Below are 19,199 nucleotides of genomic sequence, written 5' to 3'. Positions count from 1 at the left end.
CAGACTGATTCACAGCTGAATTCTAACCAGAGGTACAAAGAGGAGCTGGTACCATTCCTTCTGAAAGTATTCCAATCAATAGAAAAAGAAGGAATCCTTCCTAACTCATTTTATGAGGCCAGCATCATCCTGATACCAAAGCCTGGCAGAGACACAACAAAAAAAGAGAATTTTAGACCAATATCCCTGATGAACATGGTTGTGAAAATCCTCAATAAAATACTGGCAAACCGAATCCAGCAGCACATTAAAAAGCTTATCCACCATGATCAAGTCAGCTTTATCCCTGGGATGCAAGGCTAGTTCAACATACACAAATCAATGCATGGAATCCCTCACATAAACAGAACGAATGACAAAAACCATATGATTATCTCAATAGATGCAGAAAAGGCCTTTGACAAAATTCAACAGCCCTTCATGCTAAAAACTCTCAATAAACTAGGTATCAATGGAATATATCTCAAAATAATAAGAGCTATTTATGACAAACCCACAGCCAATATCATACTGAATGGGCAAAAACTGGAAGCATTCCCTTTGAAAACCAGCACAAGACTAGGTTGCCCTCTCTCACCACTCCTATTCAGCATAGTGTTGGAAGTTCTGGCCAGGGCAATCAGGCAAGAAAAAGAAATAAAGGGTATTCAACTAGGAAAACAGGAGGTCAAATTGTCCCTGTTTGCAGATGACATGATTGTGTATTTGGAAAACCCCATCGTCTCAGCCCAAAATCTCCTTAAGCTGATAAGCAACTTCAGCAAAGTCTCAGGATACAAAATCAATGTGCAAAAATCATAAGCATTCTTATACACCAATAACCGACAAACAGAGAGCCAAATCATGAGTAAACTCCCATTCACAATTGTTACAAAGAGAATAAAATACCTGGGAATCCATCTTACAAGGATATTAGACCAGTATCGCTGATGAACATGGATGTGAAAATCCTCAATAAAATACTGGCAAACCGAATCCAGCAGCACATCAAAAAGCTTATCCACCACGATCAAGTCGGCTTCATCCTTGGGATGCAAGGCTGATTCAACAAGGGATGTGACTTTTTTGGACCTTATAAGACTGGACCTTACAAGGGATGTGAAGAACCTCTTCAAGGAAAACTACAAACCACTGCTCAACAAAATAAAAGAGGACACAAACAAATGGAAGAACATTCCATGCTCATGGTTAGGAAGAATCAATATCGTAAAAATGGCCATACTGCTCAAGGTAATTTATAGATTCAGTGCCATCCCCATTAAGCTACCAATGACTTTCTTCACAGAATTGGAAAAAACTACTCTAAAGTTCATATGGAACCAAAAAAGAGCCCACGTAGCCAAGACAATCCAAAGCAAAAAGAACAAAGCTGGAGGCATCATGCTACCTGACTTCAAACTATACTACAAGGCTACAGTAACCAAAACAGCATGGTACTGGTACCAAAACAGATATATAGACCAATGGAACAGAACAGAGCCCTCAGAAATAACACCACACTTCTAAAACCATCTGATCTTTGACAAACCTGACAAACACCAGCAATGGGGAAAGGATTCTCTATTTAATAAATGGTGCTGCGAATACTGGCTAGCCATATGTAGAAAGCTGAAACTGGATCCCTTCCTTACACCTTATACAAAATTAACTCAAGATGGATTAAAGACTTAAATGTAAGACCTAAAACCATACAAACCCTAGAAGAAAACCTAGGCAATACCGTTCAGGACATAGGCATGGACAAAGATTCAATGACTAAAACACCAAAAGCAATGGCAACAAAAGCCAAAATAGACAAATAGGATCTAATTAAACTAAAAAGCTTCTGCACAGCAAAAAAACTATCATCAGAGTGAATAGGCGACCTAGAGAATGGGAGAAAATTTTTGCAATCTACCCATGTGACAAAGAGCTAATATCCAGAATCTACAAAGAACTCAAACAAATGTACAAGAAAAAAAAAACCACCAAAAAGTGGGCAGAGGATATGAACAGACACTTCTCAAAAGAAGACATTTATGCAGCCAACAGACACGTGAAAAAATACTCATCATCACTGATCATCAGAGAAATGCAAATCAAAACCACAATGAGACACCATCTTAGGCCAGTTAGAATGGCGATCATTAAAAAAGTCAGGAAACAAACGCTGGAGAAGATGTGGAGAAATAGGAAGGCTTTTACACTGTTGGTGGGAGTGTAAATTAGTTCAACCATTGTGGAAGACAGTGTGGCGATTCCTCAAGGATCTAGAACTAGAAATACCATTTGACCTAGCGATCCCATTACTGGGTATCTACCCAAAGGATTATAAATCATGCTACTATAAAGACACATGCACACATATGTTTATTGTGGCACTATTCACAATAGCAAAGACTTGGAACCAACCCAAATGTCCACCGATGATAGACTGAATTAAGAAAATGTGGCACATATACACCATGGATTACTATGCAGCCATAAAAAATGATGAGTTCATGTCCTTTGCAGGGATATTGATGAAGCTGGAAACCATTATTCTTAGCAAACTATCACAAGGACAGAGAACCAAACATCGCATGTTCTCACTCATAGGTGGGAATTGAACAACGAGAACACATGGACACAGGGCAGGGAACATCACACGCTGGGGCCTGTTGGGGAGTGGGGGCTGGCAGAGGGATAGCATTAGGAGAAATACCTAATGTAAATGACGAGTTGATGGGTGCAACCAGCCAACATGGCACATGTATACCTATGTAACAAACCTGCATGTTGTGCACATGTACCCTAGAACATAAAGTATAATAATAAAAAAAGAATAAGAGATCTCTTAATTACTGTCATACTTCCAGCACCTAACCCAATGTCTTCTTAAGTGTCTTCTCATAATTTTACTTATATTGAAAATTTATAATCTATTGAAATTAACAAAACAGCCTTAAGTATTATACCCTCTATAAAGTGTATTTTATACTTCCAAAGATCCTAGGACCTCATATAATGCAAACTTGTTCATATATAACAGTATAGGGTGGAAGGAGAGTGGTGATGGAAAGAGTTCCTATTAGGACCTTATGCTTATTACCTAAGTAACAAAATAATCTGTACACCAAACTCCCATGACACACAATTTACTGATATAACAAATGTGCATGTGTACCCCTGAACCTAAAATAAAAATTAAAAATATAAAATAAAACAGAATACATCAGAGCAACCTATTTTCCTATCTCAGATACAAGACTAGTATAACATAATTTTTTTTTAATGTTAGTGCTCCTTTAAACTAGTTGTTTAATGAAAGGATCAATAATAATGTGTTTCATCCCTCTTTGTGCTAAAGATATCAAAACACCATATTGGCATCAGTTTAGTCATCCTCATAAGATTCCTCATTCCATCTTATGTTGAATTTATAGATGAGAGGACTAAAGCACAGAATGTGGGCTGGCTTACTCACTTATCCACTATGATATAACTGGAAAATAACAGATCTATTCAATTTTGCTTCTATTTCCCTTTTAGACCTACATTCCCAGTTTTTGTACCACTCTTGGCAATATGTAGGTATTGAAAAAAATTTAATTCCAAACTTGGTGATTTTTCACGAATTGTTCCTCAAATATCTTAGAAGAAATCTTTCTCTTGTTTTTTCCCAATTGCATGGCTTGTTTCTTCTCCTTAATCTTAAATAACAATCAAATTATGTTTTGTGTTATTATTTTTACTAGATTATCAATTCTTAGTATCTAACTGGCCTTATTGTTAGATGTTTGCTGACTCTGCCCCTGGAAGAGTCATTTATTTGGTAAATCCCTGATCTTAGAAAGTGCTTAACCCTTGCAATTCCTGTGTGCAAGACCATCCTTAGATTCTTTCGGTTCTTGATGAGATAGACATTGCAGGGCATTAAAAGAGAAACCAAAGACTTTTACTCTCACTTTATTCCCGTTTAACCACAATGTTGAGTATTCCACCTTTGTAGTGTTTGCAGTCCTTTATTGCAGGTAAGATTCTTCAATACTCATAAGCTTCTGCACCTCAGGGTTGGTGGAGCCGCCTTAGAAAAGACAGAGTCATTTTGCCCTGAACCTACAGTCAAACCCCACAGGGGGACCCCACATGTATTTCCAGCAGGGAGAGGGTGTTCTCATCACTTCTATTTATGTTCTCCTGGATAGAATCTGGGTGTCCATGGTAGCATCCAGTTACAATTTCGTATTGCCTTATTTGGGATGCAAAGGGACAGCCTTTTCCCAATATTCCTAGAAGCATGGAATACTGACTGGCAAGCATGATTTCTCAGCAAAGGTCTTTAAAAAGCTTTGCCAACATTCCTTTTCCTTCCCTTACTGCAGGTAGGCAATTCAGCTGTAGGATGGGGCACATGAGCAATGCCTGTTAACCTCCTGCTCCTATAAGAAGAGACATTATTACATGGCCCATGAGAGAGGCCTAAGGTCCCATGTACAGGATTTCCCACAGCATTTCCCTAATATGGCACTTGATGAATATTGATTGAAGTATTAATCTTTGCATGCCCTTGTTGTTTCTTTTTCTCAGCTTGCCACACTACATAGCTCAAGTTCTTAAGGATATTTGTCAAATAGAATTGAGTTAACATCCTCTGAAGAGCTTCTGAAATTAATTACTGGAATGTACATTTTATGCATCTTTTTTTCCATGCATAATGCATTAGATACCGACTTTACTGCGATTTACTTTATAGCCTAGGCAAAATTTAACCCATTCTTTTCCCCACAGATTCAGCTCCCCAACAAGCTAAGGACGTGTGCCAAGGCTTCTATTCCTCCCCTGGAGATCCACATTCTCTTGCCAAAATATGGATACATTTTGATCAACTTATGACCTTTTGATTTTGCCCTAGTGTCCTACAGCAGATACAGCTGTGCTTGTAGCCAGACTCCAAACCTTAGTGTGGTCTGGAGATTAGGTGACAGAAAATAACTCTTATCTCATGGGCCATACTTCTAGGAAAGTTGGGTTAATTTTTAAATGGTCAAAATTTTCACTGGATTCACCATTGAACAGAATTTGATGTCATTTCTTGGGACAAGTGCTCAAGACTGTATGAGTTAGCCCCTCTCTACTCACCAGAATCCATGAGGAGGTCATCTTGGGTTGCATGGAAAATGGCCATGTCCCCAAAGCTTAACTCTTCACATAGTGCTTCCCGAACCTGTTTGTACTTATAATTGTACTGTTGAAATGCGACTATTGTGATGACTAGTGAGTGAGTTTATCAGATTCTGACATTGACTTACTGCTCTCTGATGAGCTTGGAAATTCTGATTTAATGCTTTGCGAGAAGAGTACCTTACTCATTTTTTGCTATCAGATCAATGATTTAAAAATCCGTCTTCAGTGTTTGGGGAAGTATGTGTCTCTTCTTTCCTATACAAAATAATAATAATACTAAGGAGAGTTCATCTATATCAAATTTATATCTTAAGACAATATAAAATGAATAATAACTACTTGAAAGATGTTTTGGAACAGCTGCCACAATATTCAGAGTGTATTTTTGGTTAGAAAGTTTCAAACCACAGATTGCAATTGATGTATACATTTGGGGGAGCTTATGTTTCTCATTTTTAAAATCCTAAGACAATTGCTCCTTAAAGTCAAATGTTGTTCACTTGGATGTAAAAGGCTACTCTTTTCTGCATGTTTCTGAACTGTGAGATTTAATTTTGTGAAGATTATTTTAACTTGGAAAATTATGTGAATTGCATTAACTCTAAAAATTGTCTTGATAAATATCATCTGAATTAGTTCCCTTGAAAGAATTCAGAAATTGACACCTAGGCACTTCCAGCTCTAGGCTCCAACATCTCATGCCACTTGCCAAAATAATCTCATCTATTTTATTGATTTGGTTCAGGCCTGATGAACAATGGTTGGTGCTCTTTATTTAAAGCTTAATTTAGAATTACCCACAAGGAACATAAGGGGAATATTGCAGTTTCTCAACTGCCTTAATGTGATGAAAAGCTGAGGGCTTTGTTTCATGGTTCTTTGCTGATAACCCTGGCTGGGGTATATTTAGGCTGTTCCTGCTTCTCAGAAGGTGTGAAGCTAAGTCACAGGACAAACTTTTTGTTTGCTTCTTATGATACTGACATTCGCAGACTGTTCATAATGGAACTACACCTTTCCCAGTTGCTCTGTTTTTCCTATTTACAAGAATAAATTGTGGTTTAATCAGGATATAATCTTATGCAATTCCCCTGGATGCTATTTTTTAATTTTAAGAATCATTTTAGATTGTGCTTTCTTAATTTTAAACTTTCCAAGGGCCATTCTCTGAGAATCTCTTCAATATCTTTGTTTCTGATGCTCATTCATTTTGACAGACAAAATGGGAGACAATTGGACTGAAGCAGGTTTTTTATATCAACTCTTGCAGTCATTTTTTATCTCTCTCCCTCGCTGATTCTTATGTTTCAAATCTCAGCTGCAAACATTCCACTCCCTCTGCTATAGCACTGTTCAGAGTATATTACTCATTGTTTGTCTCAGGAGTCATTATTTTTAGTAGCTCAGTCAGGAGTTTAGGGATATAGCTTGAACATATGCTATAATTCAAATAGAGAAAACCCCAAGTCTCTCAGGATCCTGGGCTTCTAATACTGCAGCTGCAAGGCAGGTGAGAACACAGACAATTCAAAATCTCATCATCATTTATGGTGTATGACCAGGAGGGCTTCTGTATCTCCTATATTATCTCCTATTTTACTGGATCTTAAATGCCACGTCTCATAAGAGTGTTCTGGTACAGGCCCCTTGTCTCATTTACTCTACAGGGGGTTGGGTTGACCACTCCTCATGAAAAATATCTCCAGAATAGAAAAATTCTTAGTACAGAGGGTTTTCTCACACAACTATCTCCTAGAAACATGTGAAGGCAGTAGGAGGAGTAGATTTGCCTTCAAAGCAGCAGCTTCTCAGAAGGAATATGATAGAGCTAACGAAAATTTCTTTTTCTCACTGCTTTTTCTTTTAAAATAGAAGCATTTCTTCTGACAACCTATTATAACCTACTCCAGGGATTCCCCCTGAATCTTCTATTTAAGAAAATGGATAGCAAGTGGAGCAGAGGTGATGTCGGGGGATGGAGGGGAAGAGCAAGGCGACTACCTCTTACTTCTTTAGGAAAGATAAACACACAATCCGCATTCTGACACTGAGTGGCTATGAGGGAGTTTGCTGAAAATAAGAAAGTTCATGGATTATGAAATCTCAGTATTATTCCTGGAGCTATTATATGGCTTGGTACCAGTATGACAGTGTGTAAATTCTCTCTCCCTGTATAAAACACATACACATACGCACACACCCCACAGGACTTTCCATCCAGAAAATGTCTTTAATGGTGAACTCCTTGCTTAAAGGCAAGATATAACCAGCTTTGTTGAACAGTTTTCTTTTCCCTGTTTATGACACACCTCCTATTGTGAATCTTGCTGAGAGGAATGCCCTTTATGTTTCATCCATGTAATTGTGCCTGACATTTTTGCAGGAACCACTCTAGTGATGATTTTGCTGTGTGGCCATGTACAAATTTTAATACAGAATAAGATTTATCCTTCTCCCACCCTGTTCATATTAATTGGACAACAGAAATGACAGACTATAATCCAACCCCAGGTCAGATTTGAATACAGAGTGTACAATCACTATAACATCATAGAATCTAGCGAGGGTTATAAATAAAAGGCAGTAAATTGTTGAGTTGCTCATTACACATCAAATGTTTCTGGCTATAAAACTATAAAAACAAGTTTAACAAAATCTTAGTTTTCATATAATTGTTAAAATTGATCAAATATAGCTATTCAGTTTAGTAGGTGAGCTGAAGGAAAGTATGCAGTTTTGAAGATACATTGACAATTATCCCTCTTTTAAAATTACCTAATTAAGATGTTTCTAGCATCTTGATGCACACCTTACCATTTTTAGCATGATTTTCCCTCTAATTAATAGATTGAATCATTGGTTTCTCCTCTTTCTTTCCTTTCTTTCTTCTTTCTTTCTTTCTTTCTTTCTTTCCTTTTCTTTCTTTCCTTTCTTTCTTTCTTTCTAGATCTCTTTGCACAGTAACAATGAGATGATACAATCATTTGTCTTGCTAATTATTTCAACAGAAAATGGAAAAATATATTTAATTTAAAAAGGATATTTATAATTCTCTCTTGCCACTCTTTCAATGTTGAGGCCCAAAATATCTAGACAGGCTACTGTATGCATGGGAATAGGCAAATAATAAGATTGGAGAATTGTTGGAGGTTTCTTTCAAAATATACTACAAATATTATCATATTATATTTCAAAATTAAAGTATTTCAAATTTTAGGAATGTTTGGGTATTTATGCACATGAATGCATTTTCAAAAGATCTAGGCAGTCTATATTTTTAAGTTCGTATACATTTTTATGGGATACAATTATCCTTTTCACCATTCATTTTATTTTTACCTATGCCCACTAGTAATGTCTATGTCCTTTAAAGTTATATCTAGCATTGTTTTCTTATGAATATTTGCCATTTTAACCAAACATGAGGAAATTCTTAATGGAAAAACATTTACCAAGTGCCTCTTCAGTGCCAGGTACTTCACTTCTCAAATGAAAAATGATTTAAGGAACTGGGAATGCCTAGCCTATAAAAGACCAGATTGATGCAGAACTATAGAACATTGTTCACACATTTGAAGAACTGACTGTAGATAAGAAATTCATTTTACACAGTGCAGCTCCAGAGGCAATAATGCCCATTTTTATTCAGCAGACATTTATCAAGAATCTTCCATGTGCCAGTCACTGCCATGAATCCTAGACATACCACAGTGCATAAGACATTTCTCTGCTCTCAAGAAGCAAACTATCTATTGAAACCCAAATAGGTCAAAGCCTCAGGGAAGATAATTTCAGATCAACACAAAGACAGACTCTCTAACAATTAGAACTCCCCAAGAATGTAATAGGCTGTCTTGTGAGCGCTAAGTTTGCATGTGATACTCCAGGATATGACAGAGGAGAGGCAGAGCCCAAGGCAATGAAGTTAGTAGTGGTTTAATGCTAGACTGGAGTGGCTGCCAAAGGCATCATCAGAATGTAGATATCAGGCCATGGTCAGTAATGGGATGGCAAGTGGTTGCTGGGAATAAAGTAAGGGGAAACCTAGAAGCTAAATTAGAGCAATGAAGCTAGGTGTGAATCAGGAAGTGCATGGTAAAGTTTGTTGGCAAACATGGCTACCTTTCATGCCTGTGGGAGATGCCTGTTTAGTATGACTAAAGGAACCTGCAAGGTCCCTGACAAGGGCGAAGCAAATGTCAAAGTTAATAGCATAGCCATATTCAGCAGATGAAAATACAAAACAGTCTATTAAATTTTAATTTCAGATAAATAAATACTTTTTTGGTATAAGTATGTCCTATGTATTGCATGGAGCATGTATATACTATCATCTTTCATTGCTTATCTGAAATTCAAAGTTAACTGGGAAAATTGTATTTTATCTGGCCACTTTAACCAAAGTAGCATCAGCCAGGATGTTTAAAGGGGATCCATTCATAGGATCAAGTTAAAATCATTCATCAGTATTTACGGGTACTTGATATAAGCTAGATGCTGTGCTCAACATTGGGAATACAAGAGTGAACAAGGAAGCCATGACCTTTCTACTCCATGATGTTACTTCTGGTGGAAAGAAAATATCATTCTGTAGGTGCTATGATGCAGGAAGCATGGAGTGTTATGCAACCACATAGTACGGTTTCCAACACGTTTCAGAGGGATCAGGAAATCTCTTAATCTCTTAAGATATGACTGTAGCTCTCTTTCGTAAACAGCTTTATTGAGTTAAATACTATAAAAAATGTACATATTTAATCTGTACAATTTGATGAATTTGGACACATGCAAACACTTGTGATACTATCACCACAATCAAGGTAATAGACATGCCAGCACTTCCCAAACTTTCCTTGTTTCCCTTCGGTTTGTTTTTTCCTTCTTGTAGTAATGACACTTTACATGATCTATTCTCTTAACAGATTTTAAAATTTACAATATCTTTTGCATTTCTCTGATGGCCAGTGATGATGAGCATTTTTTCATTTTGTCTTTTGGCTGCATAAATATCTTCTTTTGAGAAGTGTCTGTTCATATCCTTTGCCCACTTTTTGATGGGGTTGTTTGTTTTTTTCTTGTAAATTTGTTTGAGTTCATTGTAGATTCTGGATATTAGCCCTTTGTCAGATGAGTAGGTTGCGAAAATTTTCTCCCATTTTGTAGGTTGCCTGTTCACTCTGATGGTAGTTTCTTTTGCTGTGCAGAAGCTCTTTAGTTTAATTAGATCCCATTTGTCAATTTTGGCTTTTGTTGCCATTGCTTTTGGTGTTTTAGACATGAAGTCCTTGCTCATGCCTATGTCCTGAATGGTAATGCCTAGGTTTTCTTCTAGGGTTTTTATGGTTTTAGGTCTAACGTTTAAGTATTTAATCCATCTTGAATTAATTTTTGTATAAGGTGTAAGGAAGGGATCCAGTTTCAGCTTTCTACATATGGCTAGCCAGTTTTCCCAGCACCATTTATTAAATAGGGAATCCTTTCCCCATTTCTTGTTTTTGTCAGGTTTGTCAAAGATCAGATAGTTGTAGATATGCGGTGTTATTTCTGAGGGCTCTGTTCTGTTCCATTGATGTATATCTCTGTTTTGGTACCAGTACCGTGCTGTTTTGGTTACTGTAGCCTTGTAGTATAGTTTGAAGTCAGGTAGCGTGATGCCTCTGGCTTTGTTCTTTTGGCTTAGGATTGACTTGGCGATGCGGGCTCTTTTTTGGTTCCATATGAACTTTAAAGTAGTTTTTTCCAATTCTGTGAAGAAAGTCATTGGTAGCTTGATGGGGATGGCATTGAATCTATAAATTACCTTGGGCAGTATGGCCATTTTCACGATATTGATTCTTCCTACCCATGGGCATGGAATGTTCTTCCATTTGTTTGTATCCTCTTTTATTTCATTGAGCAGTGGTTTGTAGTTCTCCTTGAAGAGGTCATGTTCTCACTCATAGATGGGAATTGAACAATGAGAACACATGGACACAGGAAGGGGAACATCACACTCTGGGGACTGTTGTGGGGTGAGGGGAGTGGAGAGAGATAGCATTAGGAGATATACCTAATGCTAAATGACGAGTTAATGGGTGCAGCACACCAGCATGGCACATGTAAACATATGTCACTAACCTGCACATTGTGCACATGTACCCTAAAACTTAAAGTATAATAATAATTAAAAATAATAATAAAAAATTTACAATATCTTATTGTTAACTATATGCACTGTGTTGTACACCAGATCTCTAGAAAATACTTACCTAGCATAATTGAAATTTTATACCCATTGAATGCCAGCTCCAATTATTAAGACCTGATGCATATATAGGAGTTAGTCAGAGGTAGGAATAGGGTGAGCATTACTAGCAGAAAAAATAGCAGATGGATGAGATTGAGTACAGACCCCTCAAAAGATGAAAATATTTCACAGACTTCAGTTTAAATTGCAATTTGGGATTTACAAAAGATAACTTTGGAGCAAGGACTTGATTTTGAAGTGCCACAGATCCTGGTAGGCTGAACAAAGGAGGACAAATGTGGGAATAAAGACAACGACAAAAGAGTATATTTGGAAGCAGGAGTCAGGGGGCTCCTTGCTTCTAGTGAACAAGGGCGCTGAGCTTCTAGAGCCCTTTGTATTTATTGAGTAAAGGAGATAGGGAGAAGGGGTGGCTGTCGGTCAGCTGCTTGACTTAGTACAGACCTGCATGACTGCATTCTTTGAACAGTAGGCTCCAGATGTCCCAGTAGATAACCTCAAGGAGCACGGTGCCAGGGAGTGACTGCCCTCAGCATACCTTCTGGTGGCAGGTACAGATGCGAGTTTGCCCACATTCTGCATTCATGAAAAACAGCTTGCTGTTTAATCATATAGCCTCCAGTGGAATGCTGAGTTGGTCACGACCCTCAGGCTTTCAGCTCCCAACATTGAAGGGTTTTGGAAGCAGGACATTTGGATGCTACCCTAAAAGAAATGGGTATCTCCAGAAGGCTCAGCAGGTACCAGGTGTAGAAAAGGTCATGTGATCAAATTGACATAAGAGATATACGTAGTGGGGAAGCACAGAAGTAGATAAATTTTAGAAATATTTAGAAATTTGGATGGACAGGATAAGTGATTGTTTTGATGTGTGGTAAAAGACAATAGGAATCAAAAATTAGTCCCCAGGTTTCTGGCTTGTGCAAACAGAACACTGATAATGACATCGCCAGATGCCTCGAAAGTGAACACTGGAGGAAAATAATCTCATTTTGCATAAGAAGCAACTAGACTTGGAAGTCTTATGACAAGGGAAGAAGTCTCATATGCATCTGTATTTACTGGCCTAGCGCTAGGCACTTAGTACCTATCAACATGGAGATTGAAAGCAAGGCAGATGTAGATGGAAATTGAAACCAAGGCAAAGGAAGGGAATGCCCAAAGTAGTTGGCAAAATGAGGCAGGCCTTAGGATAAAGCCCTGGGGGACATCAACAATTACAATGGAAATGAAAAGTGAGAGTCTGGAGAGCTAGTCAGTTTGGTGACATTTGACACATATCCATCAACCTCAGGCCTCAGTTTTATCATTTATAAATTGAGTGATACAATATAGGATTGTTGTGAAGATTCCATGCGATTACACAGTGCCTGACATACAGTAGATACTCAATGTATTTAGCTTTATAGTCTGTGCATAGCCATTCACACCTGCTGTATATATAAAATTTGGTTTATTTTATACAGCAGTGGTTTTTAACATTTTTTATTTTGGTTGAGTTCTTTTGAAAACCTTATGCAAGTGCTCCCTTTCCAGAAAAATGGATATGAACTACGCAAAACAATCCCAGTGCCTGACAGAGTGCTCTGTATATAACAGACACATCGTAAATTTAAGAATGAATAAACTTATTATGAGTACATTATATTGCAATTGTATTAAATAAAAGGATGCAACTTATTTTTTTTTAATTGCATACCACTCATGGAGCTTGTGGACCTTCCAAAGAGACTCCATCTCTGCAGCATTATCTGAAGGAAGGGGACATATAGATTGTGTATGCCTCGTTATTCTCTTGGGGTTTGGGTGTCTATGTTTAAATCTATTCCAGGTATGTGGGCTATGGCAAAGCCATAGGGGTTCTTAGATTTAAGACAGAAGTAGGTACCTCTGTCTTGGGGGCTGATTTATTCTAATAGTGATCGGAGTATTTTTAAAAGATAAATGTCCCTCCATATCCTCTTCTTTTAGGACTCTATTTTGGAAATTAGTGACTGCTGTCTCATAGCTCTTTCCAGATTGTATTTTTCATTTATCAGTAAAATCAGTAACTTTATGGCATATGGTAAGGAATGACCTTGAGGTTTTTTAATAGAAGTGCAGTCTCCATTTATAAAATTATATTAACTTGTCTGCATATTTTTAAGCCTGTTGACTTTGCTTCTGTCATCAGAAGCCATGTTCAGGGAACAATAAAGACTGTCATTTTAAACTGTGTGTACACAAATCATTGGTAGTGTGCATCAAGCCATCTGCTCTTCCTGGAGGTTTTTCTTTTTCTATGCATATCCTAACTGTGAAAAGAGTTTAAGATGATAATGTCATACAACCCATTTCCTGTGCTACGATTCTCATTACCTTGACTTAGGAAAAGATGACTACTGATGACGTAGGTGCAAAATTCTGGCAGTAGATTGGTCCTTTCACTTCTACATATCACTTGTCATTTAAACCAGTAGATGTTTTTCAAATGTTAGAAAATCTCTCCTGAATAAAAGCAAATCTCGGCTTCATTGTCTATTTTCCCCTTGTCCCTCACATTTTTCTTCCTCTCTTCTTCTATTCCCGATTATTAATCAGAAATAAATGAATCATGGTACAAAATTTCAATCACTAACTTTTGTATAGAAAGATAACATTCACTCTCAACATAACATCAACATTTATTTGATAGTAGAAAGCAACATTTTTCTTCTCTCAAGTTCTTTGAATAATTCTGTTTACAACTGAGTCACTTTTGGAAGTTCCTTCTTTCCTTTCTGAAGTTCCTTCTCTCCTTTCTGACATCCCAGAGGGAAAGAACTATATCAAGAACTGTGTAACTTCCTATAAGGCTCACTGAGATCATTCATATGTGCTGAAATTGAAGTCCAAAGATGATTGGGTAGGGCTGCCATCTCAGTATTAGGGCATACTCAGAAAGGTCTATTCTTTTGTTCTCAACCTTTGAAAAAAAAATTACATATCTAGCTGAGCATGGTGGTTCATGCCTGTAATCCCAGCACTTTGGGAGGCCGAGGCAGGTGGATCAGTTGAGCTCAGGAGTTCAAAACCAGCCTAGCCAACATGGTAAAAACCCATCTCTGCTAAAAATACAAAACTTAGCTGGGCATGGTGGCATGTGCCTGTAGTCCCAGCTACTCGGGAGGCTGAGGAATGAATCACTTGAACCCGGGAGGTGGAGGTTGCAGTGAGCCAAGATCAAGCCACTGCACTCCAGCCTGGGTGACAGAAAGAAACCCTGTCTCAAAAAAAAAAAAAAATTATGTATCTATCATCCAGATACTGAAACAAAAAAAAGTTGTTTTATTTCAAACACTGAATATCAGAACACTTGAGTTATGTTAGAATCCATGTTTTCTATATGAAGCAGATTTGCCAAAGCTAGTGCCTTTTAGAATTCATTGGCAATGAGTTTCTAGAAGTTTCCAGACCCTGTGGATCCTGCAACACCTAGAGTAAGGATGAAAGAACAACACTTGGGATGTGAAGTCAGGGGTCACTGGAGATGGGGAAGCCTGACCCCCTACTATCCTTGATTTCACTTATTTCTCTTTCTCTCCAACTTCCTGCATCTGTCAAAACCTCTTCCCTGGGGTGGAAATTATTATAATATTAACACAGTTGTTCAAATATGTCACTAAGCAAAAGATTTAACCCAGCATAGGATTCTTTGCATCATTGAAGAGGAGCTTCTATAATCAAAAGCTATTTTCAAGAATGTCCTTGGAAGGAATTGAACTTTCACTGTAAATCCACTGACCATCCATGCCCTGGCATGACCATGAAAAGGGTTTCCAATAAACAGAATAAAGCCCGAGGAGGGTGGTGTTTCTGAGTTAAGGTTGCTCCTATGATACTTTCTTTTCACCCTAAATACTCAGGTTCTTGACATATAAATTAATAAACCACTTGCAGACATACATTTTCTGGAGAATGCAGCACTGCATTTTATGACAAAGTTAAAAGAGGATTCCCTATAATTTTTTAATTCTCTTTTGATGAAGTCACAGGCTGAAGAGGTAGTAGAAATTACTCCTGTCTTCTCATTACTCCATTCATAATGATGATGAACAGAAGGAAACTAATATGCTAGATGCTTTATATACTTCCTTTAGTTCTTACAGCAACCACATCAATAGTCCCTATGGTCACCTCATTTTATAAAGGAAGACATTAAGTTCAGAGAATTTAGGTAATTTTCTCAAGATTCCTTAGAGACAAAGGGATCAACACAAGTGAGCTGCCATAGCCTGAGCCAGTCAGGCCTGAGAGTGCCCAAAACAACAGAATTACATTGCATCTTATCATTCATAAGATTGACTTTATTTTAAAGAGAGATTTCATTTATAAATGCTAATCCATCATGTGACCCTTGACTAACCCTAAGTCCAGGAATACCTCCAGGATGTCTGGTTGATTTATTAGTCTTTATGTAGAAACACCTATTCACTATAAGTTTTGTCTTTCATCCAAAACAACCCTTTATGTTGTTGCAGAAATCATAGGTTGTGATGATTTCTCTCAACCACCTACACATTCTTTTCAAAGCATGCATACTTTTTTCCAAAATATAAGCCCTGGGTCGTGGGGTTGCAGCATGAAGATCTACCTGTCTTGTAGCCACCTGAGACTATGCTTCTGTCTGTTAGGTCCCCCCAGTAGATCACCTCCCACTGACAAACTGGGCTTGTCTGCCTCATTCTTCGGTTTCTTGACTCCTTTGGCATTTTGGGACTGCTTTGCATATAGGGCCTTTCATGGAATAATGATTTATACAAGCAGTAGCTGGCTGTGACTTTTTTTGACACACTAGGTAATTTCCTTCATGTTACAGATAAGGGTGGAGACAGTGAGCACACAGCAGAATGCCAGGCTCAAGATAAAGCCCAGATTGCTTCATATGTCAGATTCAATGGTCAAGAGTCTCATTTTCCATTTTTCTATAGGGTCCAGGGAATTCTGAAACCCTGAACTATAAGAACCTGAAATTTCAGAGGCTCACTGAGAAATTTGAAATAATTGGACTAAAAATTATTTCCTCTACATTCGCTTTGATGGAGCAAGGCTGCCTGGGTTCATGCCCTGACTCCATCACTTATTGTTGTATGACTTTGGGTAGGTTGCTTGATCTTTATATACTCAGTTTCTCTATCTGTGAAATGAGAATGATATTAGCAGCCTACATCATACATTATTGTAAGGATTAGATAAATTAATAAAATCTACCAAGAACTGACACATAAGATAGAATTGGCAAATATGTTAAAACAAATGCCTATAAATGCATTCTTTGTGTTCAAAAAGTTAAGTAGAAACATGATGACTAAATGCAATGTATTGTACCAAGACAGAAAAAGACATTAGGTAAAACTAAGGATATCTGAAAAGAGTATGGATCTTTAGTTAATAATAATGTATCAGTGTTGGTTTGTTAATTGTAATGAATGTGCCACACTAATGCAAGATGTTAACAACAAGGGAAACTGGCTGTGACATATATGGGATTCTCTGTACTATGTTCCCAATGTTTCTCTAATCTAAATTCTAAAAATAAAGTTTATTTTAAAAATAAATTAGATATTTTAATAAAAATTTCTAATTTCCTACCCTCACCTTCTCCCCTTTTTTTCTCCAAAAATCCCCAGGGGTTAAGGAAAAACAGGTTATACTATTTCATGTTGTTAGAGGAGTAGTTGATCTGTATAATGCTGTTTTCTGTTGCGGCCTTGAACATCCAGTTAAGCCATCGTGACTCACTCTTCTATCCTTGTCTCATTCCATATTGTTCCTAGAGCTAAAGGTCTCCGACAATATTAATCTGTTTTCAAACTGCTATAAAGAACTACCTAGGACTGGGTAATTTATAAAGAAAAGAGATTTAATTGACTCACAGCTCTGCATGGCTAGGGAGGCTTCAGGAAACTTACAATCATGGCAGGAGGCGAAGGGAAATCAAGACGCGTCTTACATGGTGGCAGGAGAGAAAGAAAACGAAGGAGGAAGTGCCACAGGCTTTCAAACAACCATATCTCCTGAGAACTCACTATCAGGAGAACAGCAAGGGGGACGTCTACCCCTGTGATTCAGTCACCTCCCACCAGTCCCCTCCCCCAACACATGGGAATTACAATTTGAGATGAGATTTTGGTGGCAACACAGAGCCAAACAATATCACCGACTAAAGATTGTATGGCTCATTTTTCAATGAGTTCCCCCTAAACACACTATAGTATCATTCTAGTCTGTTGTGGCCACCCCATGTAACCACTCTGTACTCCCAGAATATCAGATGGTGAGTAAGACATCACCCCACTTTCCTTGGTTTGGCTTTTGTCCTTTTCTGCATTTCTTATTTCTTTTTGTTGTTTGTTTGTTTGTTTGATTTTTACCTTCATTCAGAATCAGCCTGGCCAGATGAATGGTGCTCCTAGCAAATTTATATTTTTAAGTTCAGGCTATTTGTCTTCTGATTACCTAAAAAATTATATAGATTAGACATTTAAGTGGTACAGTCCTATAGTACTCTGAGACCAACCTGATTCTGCATTTAGAAAACTCTTCTTCAGAGGATGACCACCAGTCTGCATCCTTCTTCTGAGTTGTCTCATTGTAAATGTCACACACACACACACACACACACACACACACACACACACACACTTTCTGTTCTCCAGTAACTTCAAATGACTAGTTATTTCCAGAACATGCCATGGTCTATGAAGACAGGGTGGTTTTCATACATCATTCTCTCTCTCTCTCTCTCTGTCTCTCTCTCTTAATCTCTCTCTCATTTCTCTCTCTTTCTGAATTCTCAAGCTAGAATCCCCACTTACATATTAATGATCTACTTTTAAGCCTCCTTTAAGATCCAGCTCTGGGGAATCTTTACCTCCATAATCTCTCCTCCTGTAAAGATATGTTATTACTTTTTTACATGTCTCTCCCAGGCATGTGAGATCTTGGAAAGTAGAAACCCTGAGAATACATTGCTATGCTAGATTTGGCAAGCATATGTGTGTGTGTGTGTGTGTGTGTGTTGCAGAGGTTTATGTGTTTGAAGATGCTTGTTGGCTAGGACCAGTCTATGTGAGTAGAAATAAGAAAACAAAAGTCATTTCTCTGTGTGGTAGAGAAATAAGTATTTGGGGATTCTTTACTGGCTGTCAGAGAGAAAGGGTTTGGAAGATGATAGAGTGGCATTGGGAGAAAGGAAGCAGTACAGGAGGAAATCAGGCCTGAGGAGAACAACCAGAAAGCCATGCAACTTTTGTGAATGGTAACATCTAATACTTGTTTTAAAATATTGTTCTGTGCAATGCAATTACCAAATCTTCAGTAAAACTTCTGTGGGTGGTATGTTATGAACTGAATGTGACCCCTCTAAATTCACATGTTGAAATCGAATGCCCAGTGTAATGGTATTTGGAGGCAAGGCCTTTGAGCGAGAATTCAGTGATGATGATAGAACCTTTGTAAATAGGATTAGCACCCTTGTGAGAAGAGGCCAGAGAGCTAGCTAGCTTTCTTTCTACCATATGAGGACACAAGAAGTCAGTCATGTGCAAGCCGGGGGAGAGTCTTCACCAGAACCCAGCCATGCTGCATCCTGATCTCAGACTCTGTGCCTCCAGAGCTGTAAGAAATCAATGTCTGTTACTCATAAGCCACCCTACCTATGGTAGTTGTTTTATCAGACTGGACTAAGACATGGTGCCTTGAGAAAAGAGGAAAAGGCTAGATGATTAATTTGGGTAAAACGCTGCAGACAGGACAGCAGGAGAGATGAGGTGAATGCTGAAGAATC

Source organism: Homo sapiens, chromosome 6 (assembly GCF_000001405.40).
Source record: "Homo sapiens chromosome 6, GRCh38.p14 Primary Assembly".
NCBI lineage: Eukaryota > Metazoa > Chordata > Mammalia > Primates > Hominidae > Homo > Homo sapiens.
The sequence above is the reverse complement of the archived record's forward strand: the minus strand, read 5'-3'. Positions refer to the sequence as shown.